The following is a 20,023-nucleotide window of genomic DNA, read 5'->3' on the forward strand; positions in this document are numbered from 1 at the left end:
ATATACAGTTTGTCAATTATATCTTAATAAAGCTGGAGGAAAATATGAAAAATTAAATTTAAAAAAGAGGAGAGGAGGAAATCAGTGATCACAGCAAAAAGGAAAGAATTGACCTGCAAATTAGAAGCCAGGTCGGGGAGGGGTGGAGCAGGGGGTGGGGGTGGGGTATGTGTATGGTACTGCCTCAGATCTATTTCCAGAATTGACCTAACCTGACTGAGTGACCTTGGAGAAAGTCCCTTACTCATTTTAAAGTGGGGGAAAATGCCTGGCTTCCCAGGTGTGTATGAGAGTTAATTGCCTTTTCTGCAGTCCCAGTGGATGGATGGGTGGAGTTATTCAAGGGCCTCCTATCCTCCTAAGTGTCTTTAGGAGACCTGATGGTTTTATTCCCTCTGAGCTGCCACTGGATCAGATGACAGGCGGGTGGGCAGCCTCCACATTCTGCTCCTGTCCCCAGTGAGGTTTACTTTCCAGGAGCCATTTAATCTCAGAAACACTGCCATCTTTCCAGCTTTTGAGGCTGGAAATCCATCTCTCTGTGTTGAAGCTCTTTATTCCTTGTGGTCCCACTCCCTGGAGCACTGCAGACAAGAACCTAGGTGACAAGAAAAAAATGGAATGACCCCAATTTAACAAGCTCCCCTCTACATTTACAGGGCAAACCGTGACTTTTCTCAAGGCCCACAAATTATAGGGAGGCAAAGGGTGGAAAAATCCAGGAAAAAAAAAAAAAAACAACCATACCACCCATACAAACATACCAGATGGAAGGAAAAGATGCCTATAATTCTCGTGGCTTTCAAAGGTATTTATTTAGTTCAGATATTTATGAAACAAACCCTAGAAATTCCAGGTATCTCTCCTAAACAAAAGAACCACGAATGTTTGCTTCTGGTCAGCATGAAAAATTGGTGAAAAACTAGATGTTAGACATAGGTTCATAAGGTAGATCTTTACAGCTCAGATACAGAGCACTGCAGGCACGTTTTCTTACCTAGTTGTCCAAGTCAGCATCAAACTCAGAGTCACCAATGACTCTGACAATGTTCAGGAGATGCTTTTCCTACTGATGTCAAGGGCAAGCTTCCTCCACAACAGCCATACACAAAAAAAGAAGTAAAGATAATTATTCAAATCATGGCACTGCTAAGATTTTCTAACTGATCTGAGCCCCCCAAAGAAATCCTGATTCGGACTATCTGGATTTTACAATGTTATCAGTCGTCAACAGACTTTGCCTTCCTTGAAAGTGCTTCCAATTGTTTCAGTGGCTAAAGGGACCTAAATCAACACTGGCTATAGCAAAGAAAACAAACCACTTATAAACTTTCCCATACCTGCCAAAACTGGAAAGCTATAAATAGGGGGTAGCAAACACTGTTCAAAAATATTTCTCAGGGAGCAAACAGGCGGAAAGGAGTGAATAATTTTCAAAGAAGTAAAGGATTTTTTTTTTTAAAGTTCATTTTGCAACTTGGAATTTCTGCGGCCACAAGGAAGTGAGGAAAACATAACTCAACCGTGATAATATGATTCCTAATGTTATAAGAAGCTAAAATGTTGTGTATGATTTAAGCAATTCCATTGCACACTATATTGATATAGTGTTTCATTATTCTTTGTTATTCCTCTTATTGCTTCTGGGAGAGGCAGGGCTTTTTCAGGATCATTAGCCCTTTCGTACCTTCCTGAAGATAGGCTCATTTTTCCCAAGAGAAAGTTCAGTTTGTCAAGGTTATTTAACATCTGAGCCAGAGCTGAGATTCAAATCCAAAGTTCCATTTCTGTATTCATTTGCACAATAATTTCTTTAATCATGGACTTTGTTATTAAAGCATTTAACTCTACTGTTAAGTGCTCACTGTTGTTCTAAGGAACAGAAAGAAATCTTTGGAGCTGAACAATCTTAAGTTTGAATCTTGTTTCTGCCCTTGCTCATGGTGTGACCTAGAACAAGGGCTTACACTCTCCCTGCCTTGGTTATTCTGGAAGTGGCGCATGCAGCTCCCTTCTTAGAACCTTATGATTAGTTGGTCTGGCAACTGATTCAATGATTAAAAATAAATCAAGTTAGAAAAAAATTCTGAGGGGATAAAATTGTGTCTTTAGTTTACAGAATCCTACCACAGCACGTAATTTCCTCTTTTATAAGTTGAAAATTAAATGAAAGTGTATGTGAAGTGCTTAACATAATGTTTGGCAATAGCAAGTAAGTATTTAATAAATGCTGTAGCTATTTTCAATAATAATAAACACCCTCTGATTAGAATGACAGATAAATCATTTCCTAGATTAAAATGACTTCATTTATATGTGCATATATGAATATCAAATGATAATAAATGGTATACATATGCAAATGAGATCATTCTTCTGATGGACTATTTGATCCAAGAATGTTCGTGAAGCCATGAACTTCATCTTCCTCTTCCATGGCACAGCCTTGGCAACCCCACTTCAAAATAGATGCTTTGTTCATTCCCTCAGCTAGTTTCCTTCCTTCTGTTTGTAATATGAAACATTGCTTTTTGGCTTCTGACCCTGTGAAGGAGGAGAAGACCACAAAGCCAAGAGTATTTGCAGCCTGGAATTAAATGCTGAGGTGGCCCTGGCCTTACATGTGCAACACCTGGGCCTTGCTGAGGTAACCAAAGGACTTGTCACTATTTAAGATGCCCTTCAAAGTCCAAAAGAAATTTAGCAGGACAAAGGACTGACAAACCCCAGCATGTTGTTGAGTTGTTTCCTTACTTTTGAAGGGCATTTTTGGAAACATGTTGTGGTGGCTCACGCCTGTAATCCCAGCACTTTGGGAGGCCGAGGCAGGCGGATCATGAGGTCAAGAGATCGAGACCATCCTGGCCAACATGGTGAAACCCCGTCTCTACTAAAAATACAAAAATTAGCTGGGAATGGTGGCGCGCCTGAAATCCCAGCTACTTGGGAGGCTGAGGCAGGAGAATCGCTTGAACTGGAGAGGCAGAGGTTGCAGTGAGCCAAGATCATGCCACTGCACTACAGCCTGGCTACAGAGCAAGACTCCATCTCAAAAAAAAAAAAAAATGTATTGTGTATGGTCCACTTATATGTACGTTCACTAGATATGGGTGGTTTGTTGTTTGTTTTGAGATGGAGTTTCACTCTTGTCACCCAGGCTGGAGTGCAATGGCACCATCTCCACTCGCTGCAACCTCTGCCTCCTGGGTTCAAGCGATTCTCCAGCCTCAGCCTCCCAAGTAGGTGGGATTACAGGCGCCCGCCATCATGCCCAGCTAATTTTTGTATTTTTAGTAGAAATGAGGTTTCACCATGTTGGCCAGGCTGGTCTCGAACTCCTGACCTCAGGAGATTTGCCCACCTCAGCCTCCCAAAGTGCTGGGATTATAGGTGTCAGCCACTGCACCCAGCCAATATGGGTGGTTTGAATGTTGTTTTTTTCATCCTTTCTTGTCTCAAGATCTGTAAGTCCCAGAAAAGCATGGCTGGAAGGTCTTGCTGTTATTGGAGGTGCTGCTCTCTAAAGGAGATGGGTAAGAAGTTGTGTTAATTTGGGACCTCTAAGAAGCAGATCCTAAAATGAGATTAAACATGCAAGGACTGAATAGGCTGGGAGAGCCATCGACTGCAATGCAAGCTTAGCAGGGAAAGAAGATTGTTGGAAGCTCCTGAGATGGCCTTGAAGCCTATAAAGACTCACTCAGACCATCAGGCAGTCCTTGAGTAAAAGTCAGCTGTCAGAAGAGGCCTATGTCAGCCAGGAACAGGCAAGCCTACCTTGTCATCCCTGCCAAGTAGAGTCATTGGTGTGAATAGCTTAGAGAAAGTGTGAGCTTAGTGCAAACAATGAGCTGAATCTCAGATGGCATCAGCTAGAGTCAGTTTTGCTCGCTGTAGTTGATGGTTTGTGAAGTGGATTCCGATGACTACTCCAGGAGATGGTCACTAATTGCCTCAGAATGTCCTATGGGGATCTCAGGCAGCTGCTGTGGAAGTGAGAGGGCTGTCTGTGGAACACAGAGATGGAACCCTTCCCAGGTCCCCTAGACACACACATGCTATGGACATATACACACAGTTCATGCACATTCACACTATGGGCACATGTACCTTGAGTGCGTGCGCACACACACACACACACACACACTATGGGAGACTACATATTCTGAAAGGCACAGGCAGACACCTTTCTACAAAATAACATGCATTAGAGAAAGTCCCCCACTTCTATGGGTATGTACTGGGACCACACTGTCATGTTGACCTGGTTATTCACAGCTGGTTTCTATGCAGAGGGTTTGGTTTACATTTTCCCTGGCCAGGAAAAATGTTTAAGCGGTGGGGTCAGTTAAGGAATTAAGGAGGAGAAAGGAGAGGAGGAGAAGGAGAGAAGGGCAGAGTGAGAGGGCGCTAAGAGTTTCTGATACCCATTACACAGCTGAGATCTGCCTCCTGCCTAAAGCAGAAAGAGACCAGCAGGGCTCTGGTTGGCACAGCCTAATTACCCACACAGAGGCAGCATTGGCAGTTTGGCGGCAGGAACTTCCTATAGTAGTGACAGTACTTAAGTCTGTGGTATGGCCCTGGGGAGCTTGGTGTGGTCTTAGTGGAGTACTTCTGTGTTGGCCCTTTTGGCTCTGGAGCCCACCCTAGTGGTTTCGCCCTTCAGGGTAGTCACAGAGTGGAGTGGAAGAACACACTTTCCCCAGGGCTGGATGCTGGCTAAACCAGGGAGCCAGGCTGAGCTGGCAAAGATCAGCCCAGAGTGGAAGTAACACCACAGGGATATGTCCTGCTCTGTACATGTTTGAGGAAAACCTTGCAATTCATTCAACACATGTTCACAGATACACTACCAATCTTCCTGCCGGGTTCTGCAAACACAAATCATTTTGAGCAAAAATAGAGGTCATTCTTGCCTAGATGGGGATACATTTTTAGTTGGAGAGATAAGCATTAATAAATAATCCACCTAAATGACAACAAATGACAACTACGGCATGTGCTCTGAATGGGGGGAAACCCATGTTTGTCATGGAAAAATGTAGTGGGGGAGGTTTTGTCTCTTCCAGAAAGTCAGAAAGGGGCCCCTGAGGAAGTCCTCCTAGCTGAGATGTAAGCCTTCAACCTCCACAGAGAGGAGCAACATAGAGAAAGCACACATGCACTGGCCCTTTGGTGGGAGAAAAAACAGTACCTGCGGGACCAGAATACAAAGGGTTGGAGGCCAATAGAAGTGCCGCCCAAAGAGAGGTGCAGATGCATGAAGGGCTGGATGAAGATCTAGTGGATTATTTTAGGCTTTTCATTTTTCTCCCAGGAGCAATAGGAGGCTACTGAAGGGCTTTAAAGAAGAAAGATGATGAGATTTGCATTCTGGAAAAAAATAATTGTTGTAGCTGCAGAATGGGGCTGAATTGGAGGCAGGATGAGAAAGAATTCAGGCAGAATAGGTAGGGAAAGAGATGACTGTGGCACAGACCAGGGTAGTAGAGGAGGGGATGGAGGGGAGTGGAGGGATTCAAGAGAGGATTTGGGGACCAAATAGAAATGACTTGGAAATGACTTCGATGTGGATTGAGATAGGCCTGACTCCTAGGTTTCCAGCTTGCACATTTGTCTGGATGGGAATGTCTTCACTGACAATGGAAACACTATAGAAGGATCAGGCTTGGGGCAGAAGTGGGACAGGGTCCTTTGGGACATTGAAGAAGAAATATCAAGTAGGCAATTGTACACATGGCTCTAGTTTCTGACCACTAAGGTGAGAAGGTAGCCTCTGTTGTATTGTATTGCACCATCTTTTGGATGAGTTTTTGGGGTTGGAGAGGCAGCCTGGAGAGGAGAGTCAGTGGGGCCTGGGCCAGGAGGGTATTTGCCACTCCTGGCCACTCTCTCCAGAGCAACTATAGCAGCTTTCTAGCCCAGGTACTTGAGTTCGGCTGCTTAAGAATTTTTGACACTGAATAAACAGGGCTTGAAAGAACCTAGTTAACAAAAGATCAGATGGGACCTAGCAGAAGGCTCATGAGTCCTTGACAAAAGAAAGTTCTGAGGCCTAATATTTGTTCTTCCTACCCAAAGTTGAGTTATAAACAGTGTACCACTATTGACCTTCACTGGGATTTGCTTTCCTGGGATCTGGAGAAGCACAGCGTGTTCCTGTGCATGAACATACTGTTATCTTTGGCTTGGTCTGAGGCTGTAGAACAGTCCAGATGGTGCTCCTGCCACCTGGAGGACAGAAGCGGAGGTGGAGGCTGGTCTCCTGCTATCTCCCCCACACTTTGGGGGCACAGAGAATCCATGGGAGGAAAACAAGGAACTGGTTTCTCCAAGAAGTTGTACAAACCAATGTCAACAGGTCAAGCCAGGGCTTTGGGAAGTCAGACATGGGCACTGATACATTTCTTAAAAGCCTGGGGGACAAGCGGATCACCTTCTCCCATAGAACACCCCGGGGGTTACTATCAGAAGGGGAATAATGGGTGGATGGACCATGGGACCTTCTGCTTTGTCTGTTTGCACATATCCTTCTTGTTGTTGGCAGGTGACTCACTCTTCCACCATGGAACAAGGACAGACCTAACCCCTGAATGAGATAAGCAACTGAGCATGGTGCCTCAGCTCCTACCTCTCCTCTTTAGGGGTCTGTCCACTTGCAAAAAGCATGTGTTTTCATCTGCTCAAGAGGTTAGCAGTAAAGACTCTGCCCCCGTGGGCAAGACCTGTGTTTTCCTGCTTTGCCTGTGACTGAGTGGATACATTTTATTCTGCAGCACAATTTTAGTAAGCTCATTTAGCATTCCTACTAAACCTTGCTGTCTAATATCAGCTTTAAATATTAAATGTGATTTTTCAATCTCCCAATATAGGGAGATTGAAAGGAACAGGAGTGTCACTCATTGGGCTTCCGAAAATCCCAACAAATAGAGAAAACTGTCTGGAATGCAGAGCCTTGAAGATCTTTGTATGGCTTTAAAATGTGACATATCCTCCCAGGTAGTTAAGAAAATTCAGCTGCTTAGAGAATTGAACTGGACCTTCTGATTGCCATATCTAATCTGGGTACAAGTATGTAGTAGATAACTTTCTCCCATCAATAAGTGTGAATTCATCACGTAGCCATTCCAATACAGGACAAACCAAGGCAAAACAAAGAAAAAGAAAACTGTATTTGTGCCTTTCCCGGGACTCACAGAGTTGCCACGCAAGGTTATTTTTGATTTGCCCCTCCAAATCCATTTCCAGCTTTTTTAGCTCTGCCTTGAGCTGCAGGAGACTGCCGGTATGGACTGTATCAATGGGCTTCTGGTGGTTCAGCCAGAGGGAGGCACTAGTAAGCGGTCAGAAGGTGGGAAAGAGAGATGTCAGTGTTTTTGACTCCCCTCTTCACTAGGGTATGGTGGTCCTGTTCCTCTACTGATGAGCAAACTCCCATCAAAGGCCTCCTCTCCCACATTACAGCTCTTACTGGGTTCTGGCACCTGCCAGTTCTCCCCTTGACCCTTCAAACCTGGGGGTGTAATGGCTGCCCACTTTCATCAGTCCCCTGGTGCCTCAGAGTCCCTTCTGATCCCATTTAGTCCTCTACAGATAGTCTTTTCTTTAATGTTCTTTGTACCATCCTGAATGCACTCTGTTTTCTGTTGAGACTTGAGTCAGAAATATTCACTACCAATAGTGAATTAAAAGCCTTCTGAATTTCAGTCCGAATTCTTGGCTATGTTCACACTTCCCTGCACTGGTAACTGGTGTACAGCGACCAGGTACTGTCTAGAAAAATGCATCTTTGGGATACTCTGATCCCTACATGCATCTCTCCATGAACAGACGTAGTTCATTGGTTGGCTCCCTTGAGTCAATGGGCAGGGAGAGCATTTCAGCATTGTGAGAATCGGTGCATTAGAAACACTTGCAGCTCCCCATGACTCAGAACCCATGGCATTCTAGAAATCTTTAATGCCTATTATATTCAGAGTTTTAAAAAGTTATTAATGTACTTTGGGAGGCTGAGGCGGGCGGATCACAAGTTCAGGAGTTCAAGACCAGCCTGGCCAATATGGTGAAACCCAGTCTCTACTAAAAATACAAAAATCAGCCAGGCATGGTGGCAGGCACCTGTAGTCCCAGCTACTTGGGAGGCTGAGGCAGGAGAATCACTTGAACCCGGGAGGCGGAGGTTGCAGTGAGCCGAGATCATACCACTGTGCTCCAGCTGGGGGGACAGAATGAGATTCTGTGTCAAAAAAAGAAAAGAAAAAGAATTGAGGAAGAATAACATGGAGTATGCTGAACATTTCTTTAGCAAGAATGTTAAAAAAGTAATGTTTTTATCCCCTTTTGAACCTGGCACTATATGCTATGAATCCAATTTTAGGATTCTTTACTTGATTAGAAACCATTTTACTCTTTGCTGAGTGCAAAAATGAATGAAATGTTTGAGTCAGATATGGTGTATCATTATTAGTCTTTGTCCATGGGGCACCTGATTTGCTTTCATAGTATTTGTTGAGCCTCTTAGAGCTAGGCAGGAGTGAGAACTAAAGGATCATTGTTTTTATTGGACATCTCCCTGTTAGCCCACAATGCAAAGGAGTTTGGCCTTGCTGATTCTGGGAAATTAAGAATAATGCACCTAAATACATAATGCACATATTATGCACCTAAATACATAATGCACATATTATGAGGCAGATGCTGTACTAGGCATTTTACATATATAACCTCCCAGTATTCCACAGTGCTGCAAAAGATTATTATCATCATCATTTTACAAATGAAGAAACAGAGGATTCGGGAGGTGAAGGGATTTCCCCAAGGAGCTAGAGCTAGTGAGTTTTGGTCAGGATTTGGCCCCAGGCTAAATACCTCGAAGCCTCTAAAACACTTATTGAATCTGCCATTTTGGCCCCTTTTTTTCTGAGCAAAGGTATTTGAACTTTGTCACAAAGTGGTTATGTGATGTTGGACAATTTTTTCTACCTCTCTGGCTTCAGTTTACTCCTTTGTAAAATAAAGAGGCAGGGCTGAAAGAAATATAAGCTCTATGATTATTTGATATTAAGGTTTATGTAAAAACATTCCCTGACAATAGACTGTATCCGTCAGGATTTAGAAGTCTCCCAAGTTATTTCAGCAGAAATAAATTTAATGCAGGGTTGCTTACAAAGGTAATGGGAAGGGCTGGGGGGGCAAGTGCTAGGGCATCTTCCAGGAGTGACTTCCAGAACAACCCTGCAGTTAGCAGACTGGAGTATAGGATCCCTAGACTACAGGCAGTGTGTTAAAGCAGAACGATTAAGATCTTGAAGTCAAACAGACCTTGAGAACAGCTCCAACTTACCCACTGATAAGTTGGGCAATGTATATAACCTCTCTGGATCTTAATATTTTAGCTATAAAATAACAAATGTGAAAATATTTATGATAGTGCTTAACAGTAGTAGGTAATCAACAGTAGTAGGTAAGTTTTGTCCTCTCCCCTCCCCCAGAGACAGAGGTATGTTTATTTGAGAATAGATGAAAAAATATACAGACAGGAACAATGGGAAATAATAATAATGAAGAAGTAAGATGGGACCAGACAATAGAGGGTTTTCCTTAAAAAAGAAAAAAGAGGCACGTAAACATCTTGAATTCTATAGGCAATGGGGGTTGATGGCAGTTTTTGGATAGGGAAATAACATGAGAAACTTGGCTCTTTGGCAAGATAAATATTGCAGCCACATTCAACAAGCAAGTTGTTCTTACGATGGTTAATATGAGATGAATGCCTTTGCCAGCCTCTTTAAAAGAATGTTCCCTTCCAATTTCATGGAAAATGCCCTTTGGGAAACCGCTGGAGGAGACTGTAGTCCTTATTTAGTGGGAAATATTTAATTGAAACAATGCCGCTCACTGTTAAGCTTAGAAGTAGATTTTATCCTCCTAGGTGCAGTATGGTGGGCCTGGGACATGATCCTCATGAGTCACTGGCAGAGGGCTGGGAAATAGAGGGGTTATGGTAAGACTCCCTCACTCCAATGACGTTGTGTCCCCAACAGGTACATGCCTGGGAAGACAGCCAGGGAACAGGCAGCTACATCAACCAAGAAGGCTGACAACATGTTCCATCCCACAACTATGTGGTAATTGCAAAGATGAGAAAATAGCAGAGATCCTCCAGTCAGCCCTGGAATGAGTTTAGGGGAGAGAAATCATGCAATCTCTTAGTAACATGGCATCTGTAAATTCACTTAAAGACCTCAAATGATTATAATTCAAGTGACCTCAGACACAGAAAAACAGTTTGTAATACCTTCCAACATCAAGACATTTTAGAACTAAAATTGACTATGAAGGGTAGTACTTGCTGAAAGTAGATGCTTAATATGTTTTGAGGGAATGGGTCTTTTTTTTTTTTTTGGGAGACAGAGTCTCGCTCTTTCACCAGGCTGGTGTGCAATGGTGCGATCTTGGCTCACTGCAACCTCCGCCTCCCGGGTTCAAGCGATTCTCCTACTTCAGCCTACCGAGTAGCTGGGACTACAGGCACACGCCACCATGCCCAGCTAATTTTTTTTGTATCTTTAGTAGAGACAGGGTTTCACCATGTTGGCCAGGATGATCTCAATCTCTTGACCTCATGATCTGCTTGCCTCAGCCTCCCAAAGGGCTGGGATTACAGGTGTGAGCCACAACACCCGGCTTGGAATAGGTCTTTTACACCAAAGCCCTCATGTTTTAATGAGGTAATTAAAGCCTAGAGGGCTATGTAATTGGCCCAGTCACCAACTAGATAGTGGCAGAGGTAGAACCAGAACTCAAGTCTCCTCACTTTCAATGTAACATTTTCTCTCTTACTCCATGTGGCATCAGGCTCCTGTTTCTGAAGGAAATCGATGTACATGTATTGTGGTGCTGTATATGGAGAAATGTTTAGCCAGTCTTTTTTCTGAGATCAAAACCAGGCCATGATAGCCATCTTCCTGGGTCTCTGTGAGGTTCTTGGGACCCAGAGTTCTCTATGATAACATCCTGGAGGGGAACTGACTCCTACAATGCACGAAAGAGATCTATACCAAGAACATGGCTCTCACAGACGAGCCAGAGGCCAAGAGCTAGGGAGGGGTTAGCTCAGTGTGCGTGAATTTCTTCTGAATTTTAATGGTTTTGGAAAATATTAAACATTTCTTCCACCGACTTCCTTTGGTTTCAAAACATGAACACTAGAGAGGCAAAGTGGAGTCATGAAATCCAATTGGTGGTGAAATCCCCCACAAGGGGGACCAAGAAAGTGAGAAAGAAAGAGAGAAGAGGAGGAAGAAAGGGAGAGAAGATACAAAATAAAGATAAGAGAAGGGAAAGAGTAAATAGATGCACACGTCCCCACAGCCGTCTTTTCCTGGCCACACTCTTCACAGGAATCTGAAAGCTGGGCTCTAATTCAGGAGCTCTGAAGCTGTTTTGAGTTTCTTTCCATAGTTTCTAGGCATCTAATCCATACCAAGGATTCCCATGGGGAAACTGTTATCTCTCAACTCAGTGAGGGCTATTGACAAAGACCAGTGCTCTTTCTTCTCTGTAGGTAAACAGTGACTCATGCAAGCCTGAGGGAGAAAATACAGTATATCTAAGAGTTAAGACCTCCCAGCTTCACATTCTGTTATAGCAGCTGCTTCATGCCAGTGGCAGCATCTTGCCAGAGTTCATTCCCATAGTGCTTCACTAAGGGTGGCCTTTGGCTATAGTACCAGAAGGAGGGACTCCTCTCACAGAGAGTAGAAGTTCCTCCTGTGAATCATGGAGACAACTGTTTGCACTTACTTATGACCCTATCTCTTTTAGGTGTCAGGGTCTCTCAGATCTTCCAGTATTTTCTGTTTTATTCAGCGGGAGGAAGACCACATAGGACTCTCAGCACCACCACGGAGGTCAACTCCCAGCAAGTCTCTGGAACTCTTTGATCAGCAATTCCACATATTTTTATATACCCTAGAGAAAAATCTCTTATGTATTCACAAAGAGGCCTGGGAGGCTATTCATTGAAGCATTGTTTTAATGGAAGAAACTTGAAAACAATGTAAATGTTCATCCATAGGGGATGAAATGAATAAATGTTCTTGTAGTGATACAATGGAATACACATGGTAGACAAAATTAATTAAACACAGCTCAAGGTAGCAATCTAGATGACTTTAAAAAACATAATAATAAAAAAGAAAAGCAACGTACAGCAATATCCCATTAAAATAAAGTTTGTAAGGATGCAAAATAATATCACTTATTATCTTTTGAGGGAGTGAGGAGAGATCTGCAGAAAGTGAGAAAATACACCATGGAGATATTTGGGGGAAGAGGGCTCAAGGTAGAGGAAAAAGCAAGAGCTTAAGGCCTGAGTTGAAAACCTGTTTGATGTGTTTGAGTGAGAACAAGCAGGTTGCTGTGACTGGAGAGTGGAGTATTTGGGGCATAGGAAGGATAGAAAATCAGGCCAGAGAGGTAACCAGTTTTTAGACCATGAAGAACCTTGTAGTTGCCACTGGAAAGTTTTGACCAGGGAATCTGTGGTGTAAGGTTTGAAATTAAGCCCCAGTATTATGTGCTGCCTCAACATTTGGGAAAAGTAGGGCCTCAGATGGCCTAATTACAAATTACCCTCCCAAATGTCCTCCCCATGCATACAACACTCTTATCAAATGGACCAGGTGCGGTTACCGCTTCTCTCTGAGAAGTGGGTTTCAGTTCCTTGCTAGCTTATGGAATTATTCAGCCAACAAATCACATCCTCCTGTGGGAACCAGGGGGCACTACACCCTCTTGCTACTGCAGAGCCTGCCTTCTACAGCACCTGATGGTCTACTCTGTTCTCAAGTGCAACCCCTGTGTGGCCAGGCGTGGCATGCAGTGTTCTCCTCTCCTAGACTGTGAGTAGAAATGACTAATCAATTGTGTCAACCTCATCTGTCCAGTGTTGGATGCCATGTGTATACCATTAGCCATGCCCATAACCCTAAAGCCGGAATCTCTCCCTCACCAAGGAAATGAATAGGAGGCAACATGAGTCACGTCACCTGATTCGTGCTTTAAATTGGGACTACATTAGTATGTACTATTTGTGCTTTACTATTGAGAATAAACTATGAGGAGCTAAAACCAAAAACAGGAAATCTAGGTATGAAGTCATGGAATCATTCAGATATGATGGTGGCTTAGATGAGGGTGGAAGTAGTGGTAGAGAGATGTACTTGGCTGGATTTGAGAAGTATTGTGAAGGCAGAGACAGTGGGCTTTGCTCAGAAATAGAATATGAATGGGGAAAAGAGGAGTCAATTTTTTTTTGCCTGATAGCTGGTTGCCATTTATTCATGTGGGGGAAAGAGAGAGAATGGCTGTTTTTATAATGCTTCTCCCTGTCTTACACAAATTGTTGCACTAATTAAAAATAAAAAGGAGAAAGTATACCTCATTTTGTGAGGCTTGTATGGTCTTGATACCAAATCCAGTACAAGAAGAAAAAATTGTTCATTGATCATTTTCACTTACCATGAAAGTGAAAATCCTAAGTGGTAGAAATGATCTAACACAATCATCAAATTTAATTTTAAGATTTTAGATGCAATTTCCTTTATAGTTAGGAATAAGACATGTATAGCTTGGTGTCATTGCCACACCAACAAAATACAGAAAGCCCTGATCAATGCATTAAAAAGAGGAGAGAAGAAAACCAAATTGTTATTATTTATAGCTACAATACCAGATGGAGATCAGATGCATGGGAAACCTGAGAATATCAGTAAAATATTAAAATTAATAAGGGAGTTCAGCAAATTTGTTAGATTTTAAAACAATATACAAAACTCTGTGTTCCCATAAAAAACAATAATTTAATATAAAATACAATACAAGATATCATTCACAGTAGCAACAAAAACTATAAAGTATGTAGAGATTAACCAAAGAAAACACAGGATGTTTACAGAGAAAAAATTTAAAATTATGAAAGCACATACCAGAAAACCTAAATAAACGGAACTCTAAATACCATATTAACAGCTTGCTTTAACCTTGTAATTAATTTTTCTTAATCTCTAAATTCAATGTAATTACAATTAAAATCCCAGAAGGATTTTTAACATGGAAAACTGATTCTGAAATTTATGTGGAAAAAAGAAATATTTTCAAAGAGTTAAAGCAAAACCAAAAAAGAAGATATATTAGATATTAGGATATATTACAAATGAAGGAAATTTTTATCAATAAAACAGAAATGGCAGACTAAAAGAAGCTATTGCCAACTACAGCAGAAAAATAATTGTTTTAAAATTTATATCTATATAAAGTATATAGTTAAAATATAAGAAACGTTTGTTAATGCAGTTAAGTCAATATTGAAAGTGAAGTTCAAAGCAGGAATTTGGGGAGAAAAATTCACCCTATGAGGTAATCAGGCAAATTAGAAAGTCATAATTCTGCAAACCAGCAAAGTTAGGAAACAGCAAGAATAAAAAAACGGGCAAAGGTATGGCTAGGCCAATCAAAGGAAGAAAACCACATGGCTAAAAATTATATGAAGAATGTTCTACTTCACTGGCAACCAGATAAATACAAATGAAATAAAAAATGATACACCATTTAAAATGTAGAGATTGGTAAAAATTAGAAAGTCAGACCATAACAAGTGCTAGTGAGGATACAGGGAGTTGTAAACCTCATACATGACTAGGGGAAGCTTAAAGAGGTGCAGCTTTTCTAGAAAGCAACCTGGCAAAACTTGGTGAAATTATGACTGCATACACACTGTGAGCCAACAATCCAATTCCTGGGCATACAATTCAAATAAATTGAATATCAGCGGGTACAAAGACATATTAGAAGATGCACATCCCAGACTGTTTGTGGTAACAACGATCTGAAGGCAATCTACATGTCTGTTGATGAGGGAAATTGATAAGGAAAATATGTGATATGACGTATGGAATACTATGAGTTCATCACACATAATGAACAAGATTTATTTACACAGAGCAACACGGATGGGATCTCAAAATACACTGTTGAGTGCAAAAAGAAAAAAAGGATGAGATTAGAAGCTTCATAGCATTTATGTAAATGAAAACCACTGACACTAAATAACATTATTTTTCAAGGGCATATTTGTCTAAATAAACACGGGGAAAGTGGATTGCAAAGACATAGAGTAAATACACTATAGTGAATGCACATAGCAGGAGGGTTGTGATACAGGAGATGAAGAGGAAAAATGTGAAAATAATATGAGGGGCTTTACATAGACGAGTGTCGATAATGAGTCATGAAAAGAAGAGTTGACTCAATTCTGCCCACCTGAGGGCTAAGAAAGATAAAGCAAAGTAAGGAAAAGAAACAAAATGTGTGTTGAGAAACCCTTCCAGCTGATCTCTGTCTCTGTTCTGAAACCTCTGTTCCACTTCTTCAGAAATGAATTAGCCCATTCATTAGGATCCAGTCAAAGAGAAGGTGTCTTCCTTAGGATAGTTGCTTAACTTGTTAAGCCTTAGTTTCTTTACTGGTAAATAATGCCCTCACCTTCCAGATCTGATGGGTAAATTAAAAGGGTGACCTTTGTAGGTCCCCACAAAGTCTCTGGTTCAGATAGGTGCTCAGTATCCAGCAGCCATTATTACATGTAAACAAAGAATGCTAGACCCTGACAAAATCTGAGAGGTGAACGAGTTAATTCTTATTCCATGAATGCGGGGCAGGATGACAGGATGGAGTCTGGGACTTGCCTACAGTCCACAGATGGGGGGTTGGGGATTGAAACAAGACCACAGCTCAACTCACTCCTCATCCAGCTTTTTCCACTACCCCTCATCACCTCCTCGGGCTCTAGAAGATATATACAAACTCATTTTTCTGGGACTAAAAGGAATTTTTATTCATGACATGTTTAAATCCATGTAAATGTCAACATTTCTGGCCAATGGAGTGTTGTGAAAGGAATAAACAATACAGGAAATAGAAAAGGTTATTTATCCACATCCGCTCTTTTTAAAGGCTATAATGCTGTTTCCAAATCATGCCAGTGCTTGTCAGAGATTATAAGGAAAAGTGCCTACAGAGTTGGGAAGAGGAAATCACAATGCAGATGATTATGGATCAGGGTATATGTGATGGTTAATTTTGTTTGTCAACTTGATTGGGTCAAAGATACCCAAATAGGTGGTTAACCATTATTTCTGGGTGCATCTGTGAGGGAGTTTCTGGAAGAGATTCACATTTAAGTTGGTGGACCGAGTAAAGCAGATGGTCCTTTCTAATTTGGGGCAAGGGATGGGTGGCGGGCATCATCCAATGCAGTGAGTATGGAACAAAAAGACAGAAGAAGATTAAATTTGGTATCTGCTTGACTGTATGAGCTGGGATATCGATCTTCTCTGGCCCCCAGCCCTCTTGGATCTCCGTCCTTCAGATGCAGGCTGGAAGCTACACCATTAACTGTCAGGCTTTCAGGCTTTTGAACTACACCACCGGCTCTCCTAGGTCTCCAGCTTGCAGACAGCAGATCACGGAATTTTTCAGCCTCCATAATTTTGTTCCAATAACTTCCAGTGAATCTCTTTGTATATTGGTTCTATTGAATCTGTTTTCTCTGCAGAACCCTGATTCATTCAGCTTACTAAACCAGTCAGCAGGCTATGGATGGCACTTTGAAGGCCATAATTTTGAGACCCTGCAAAGCAGGTGAAGGAGAGAAATTTATAACTAAGGCTCTTCACCCATTCTCCAGAAGAATGCCTTTATTTCTTTGTCTCCAAAATCTAATGTAGAAGCCAGCAAGCTGCTGCCAACAGCAGGGAGCCTGACATGAGATGGAACACTGCTGTCCCTGTAAAGGAGTCAACACCATGAACCGTTTTGAATACATGAGAACAGCCAACAGCCACCAAGGCCATACAATATCTGGCGACCCAGTCAGGATGAGAATATTGGCTTTAGCCATGATAAAGATAGTGACAGTTTATATGAGGGTTAGCATCAAAACAGGACAGTTTATAAGAACCCCAAAGCTGAAAATCTTTTAAAAACCCTAAGCCAAAATCTCGATGATGTGCTGGTACAAGGGGCGTTATTATTTAACTAAATATTAATAGATTCCTGTCCTTTTGGCTTACTTCTCTGCTCCCTCTCTCCTTCAGCTATTTTCTATTATTTTTTCCATACACACAAATGCAGAGCTTTTTGGTACTTGCTTTGTAATCCAGTGCATAGAGATGTTGATTCCCATCTCTAGGGGCAAACAATTGTACTATGTTTTGTTTTTTTCCCTATTGTATGCCAAAAGAAAACAAACCTATTCTGTTCTCTGTTTATAGAACTGTCTTTGTCTAGCTGTCTGTCTACTTATCTATCTATATCTATCTATCTGTCTATCTATACCTACCTATTTTATACATATTTTTTATTTCAATAGCCTTCGGGGGTACACATGGGTTTTGGTAACATGGATGAATTGTATAGTGATGAAGCCTCAGACTTTAGTGCACTCCTCAACTGAATACTGTACATTGTACCCAATATGTAGTGTTTTTTGTTTGTTTGTTTGTTTTTAGACCGAGTCTCGTTCTGTCACCAGGCTGGAGTGTAGTGGTGCCATCTCGGCTTACTGCAACCTCCGACTCTCTGGTTCAAGCAATTCTCCTGCCTCAGCCTCCTGAGTAGCTGCGATTACAGGCATGCGCCACCATGCCCAGCTAATTTTTGTATTTGTAGTAGAGACGTAGTTTCACCATGTTGGCCAAGATGGTTTTGATCTCCTGACCTCGCGATCCACCTGCCTTGGCCTCCCAAAGTGCTGAGATTATAGGCATGAGCCACCGCGCCCAGCCCAATAAGTAGTTTTTTTATTCCTAGCCCTCTTTCCACCCTCCCTCTTTCTGAGTGACCAGTGTCCATTCAGCACTGTCTTTCTAATCACAATTCTTCCTGTGAACTCTGACTTCTGTTGGCTATCTGTTTTAGCCCTTTCAACAGAAATGAAAATACAGAAAGATGTTCAATTGGTGGGAGAATTGCCTGAGCCTGGGAGGTGGAGGTTGCAATGAGCCGAGATCACGCCACTGCACTCCAGCCTGGGTGACACAGTGAGATCCTGTCTTAAAAAAAAAAAAAAAAAAAAAAGATGTTCAATCTTTTTAGGGTGACAGAGCAAATCTGTAACTCTACTTACAGTCAAATACCAGGTACTGATGTCCCAAAATTTCTTCTTGGAAAGAAGGAACCATTTTATTTTCATTGGCACCAATCATAGGATGTTTTCTTCACTATTTAATTTTGAATAACACAGTTCTTTTCAGGGAAGACACATTATCCTGAAACACCCTGAATTAATGCTAGATTTGAATGTCTATAAGTAGGATTTGTGAACTTTGATAAATATTTAATCATTCTTTCATTTGGGTGAATGGCCTTACATTTTCAAGAATGGGTGTTAATGTGAGTGAGCCTTTTAAATATCACTTTTTTGAAGTATTACAGTAAGTGATTGCATAGTAAACATTCAGAATATGCAACTTCAGGAAGAATGAGAGAAAACTGTCCTAATACTATGCTGTGGCTTGGGATAAAATTGAGATATGATGGAGGAAAAATATGTCAATTACCAGATATCTTTATGTGAAATATAAGATAATATATAAAATGGGACTGGGCATGGGGGCTCATGCCTGTAATGCCAGCACTTTGGGAGGCCAAGGTGGGTAGTTCTCTCGAGCCCAGGAGTTTGAGACCAGTCTGGGCAACATGGTGAGACTCCATCTCAACAAAAAAATATACAAATTAGCTGAGCATGGTGGTGTGCACCTATAGTCCCAGCTATGTGGGAGGCTAAGGTGGGAGGATCACTTGAGCCTGGGGTGGCTGAGGCTACTGTGAGCCATGATCATGTCTCACATGATCATGGCAGTGGCACTTTAGCCTGGGTGACAGAGTGAGACCCTGTCTCAAAAAAATAAAAAGTTAATATGCTTATATAAAACGATATTAACACATCAATTTTATAAGTATATATAAAATGATTTATAATATGTGTATAACTAAATTAATACATTAACTATTTTTAAGCAGATGATTCATGATTTTTAGCTATGTTCCTAGAATTTTTGGTGACGGGAAGGGGAGCATTTACTTGGGCAATGGGAGTGTCTCATATTTGACATTGCCTTATATTAGGGCATATACTGTAGATGCATAAACAATGGTTGAATCCTAACCAAGCTTGGGGTGGGGGGAGGAAGAACAATGAAGACATTCACAACAAATTATTTTCTTTTCTCTGTGTTATCAAGAAAATGTGTTTACCAGTCTTTATCTTGATTCCAGATCCACAGCAAATGATGACTCTTCTCTATGTATGACGATGATGGTTTGTGAACCAAACTCTGGATCATATAAAAATGAGTGTTTGAAATACTACTTCAAAAGTAGCCACTTCTGAAGATTCTATACATTTATTCAGAGAATGACAGTCATGGGCCAAACTGCTTGGGAACGCCTCTTGGAGGACTGCCTTCAAATCATCACTTCACAGGCTGGACGACAGGGCCAGGCTCCACACTTTATAGACAGTCTTTTTGTTTTCTTTTTTTTTTTTAACCCCAAATGGTTATACTCATGCCATTGACCAGCTTGGCCTCTGGATGACTTTTGGCTCTTTCCAGAAATCATTAAATTCACTGTCTTCCACTGACTCCCATCCCCCATCCCACCCCAAAGGAAGAAGACTTGGCACAGAGTAGGACTTTCAGAAAAATGCTCTGCAGGCTCTGAAGACAATTCTGCGAGAGGAGTTCCAAATGTTTAGAGGAAAAACAAGACAACTAGAGTCAGTATATGACCTCCCAACGAGAATGTGCTGAAAAGAGACAAAATTCCTTAGGGTTTCTAAGTTCTAGAAGATTACTTTTTAAATATCATTTTATGTTCCTATGCCACATTTAAAATGTACAAACCTTGCATGCCATACCAGGTAGCCAGATTGAGCAAATATCTTCACGTGTTT

The 20,023-nt window shown here is 41.6% G+C and overlaps 1 long non-coding RNA gene across 1 annotated transcript in view; it reads left to right on the forward strand.

The window, feature by feature from the left end:
* LIFR-AS1 (LIFR antisense RNA 1) overlaps positions 1 to 10,237 on the forward strand; it is a 114,431-nt gene extending 104,194 nt beyond the window's left edge. The window contains exon 9 of the long non-coding RNA NR_103554.1: positions 10,047 to 10,237. This is a non-coding gene — a long non-coding RNA (LIFR antisense RNA 1). The remainder of the gene's footprint in view (positions 1 to 10,046) is intronic.
* The last annotated feature ends 9,786 nt before the right edge of the window (positions 10,238 to 20,023 follow it).

This window comes from Homo sapiens, chromosome 5 (assembly GCF_000001405.40).
Source record: "Homo sapiens chromosome 5, GRCh38.p14 Primary Assembly".
NCBI classification, from domain to species: domain Eukaryota; kingdom Metazoa; phylum Chordata; class Mammalia; order Primates; family Hominidae; genus Homo; species Homo sapiens.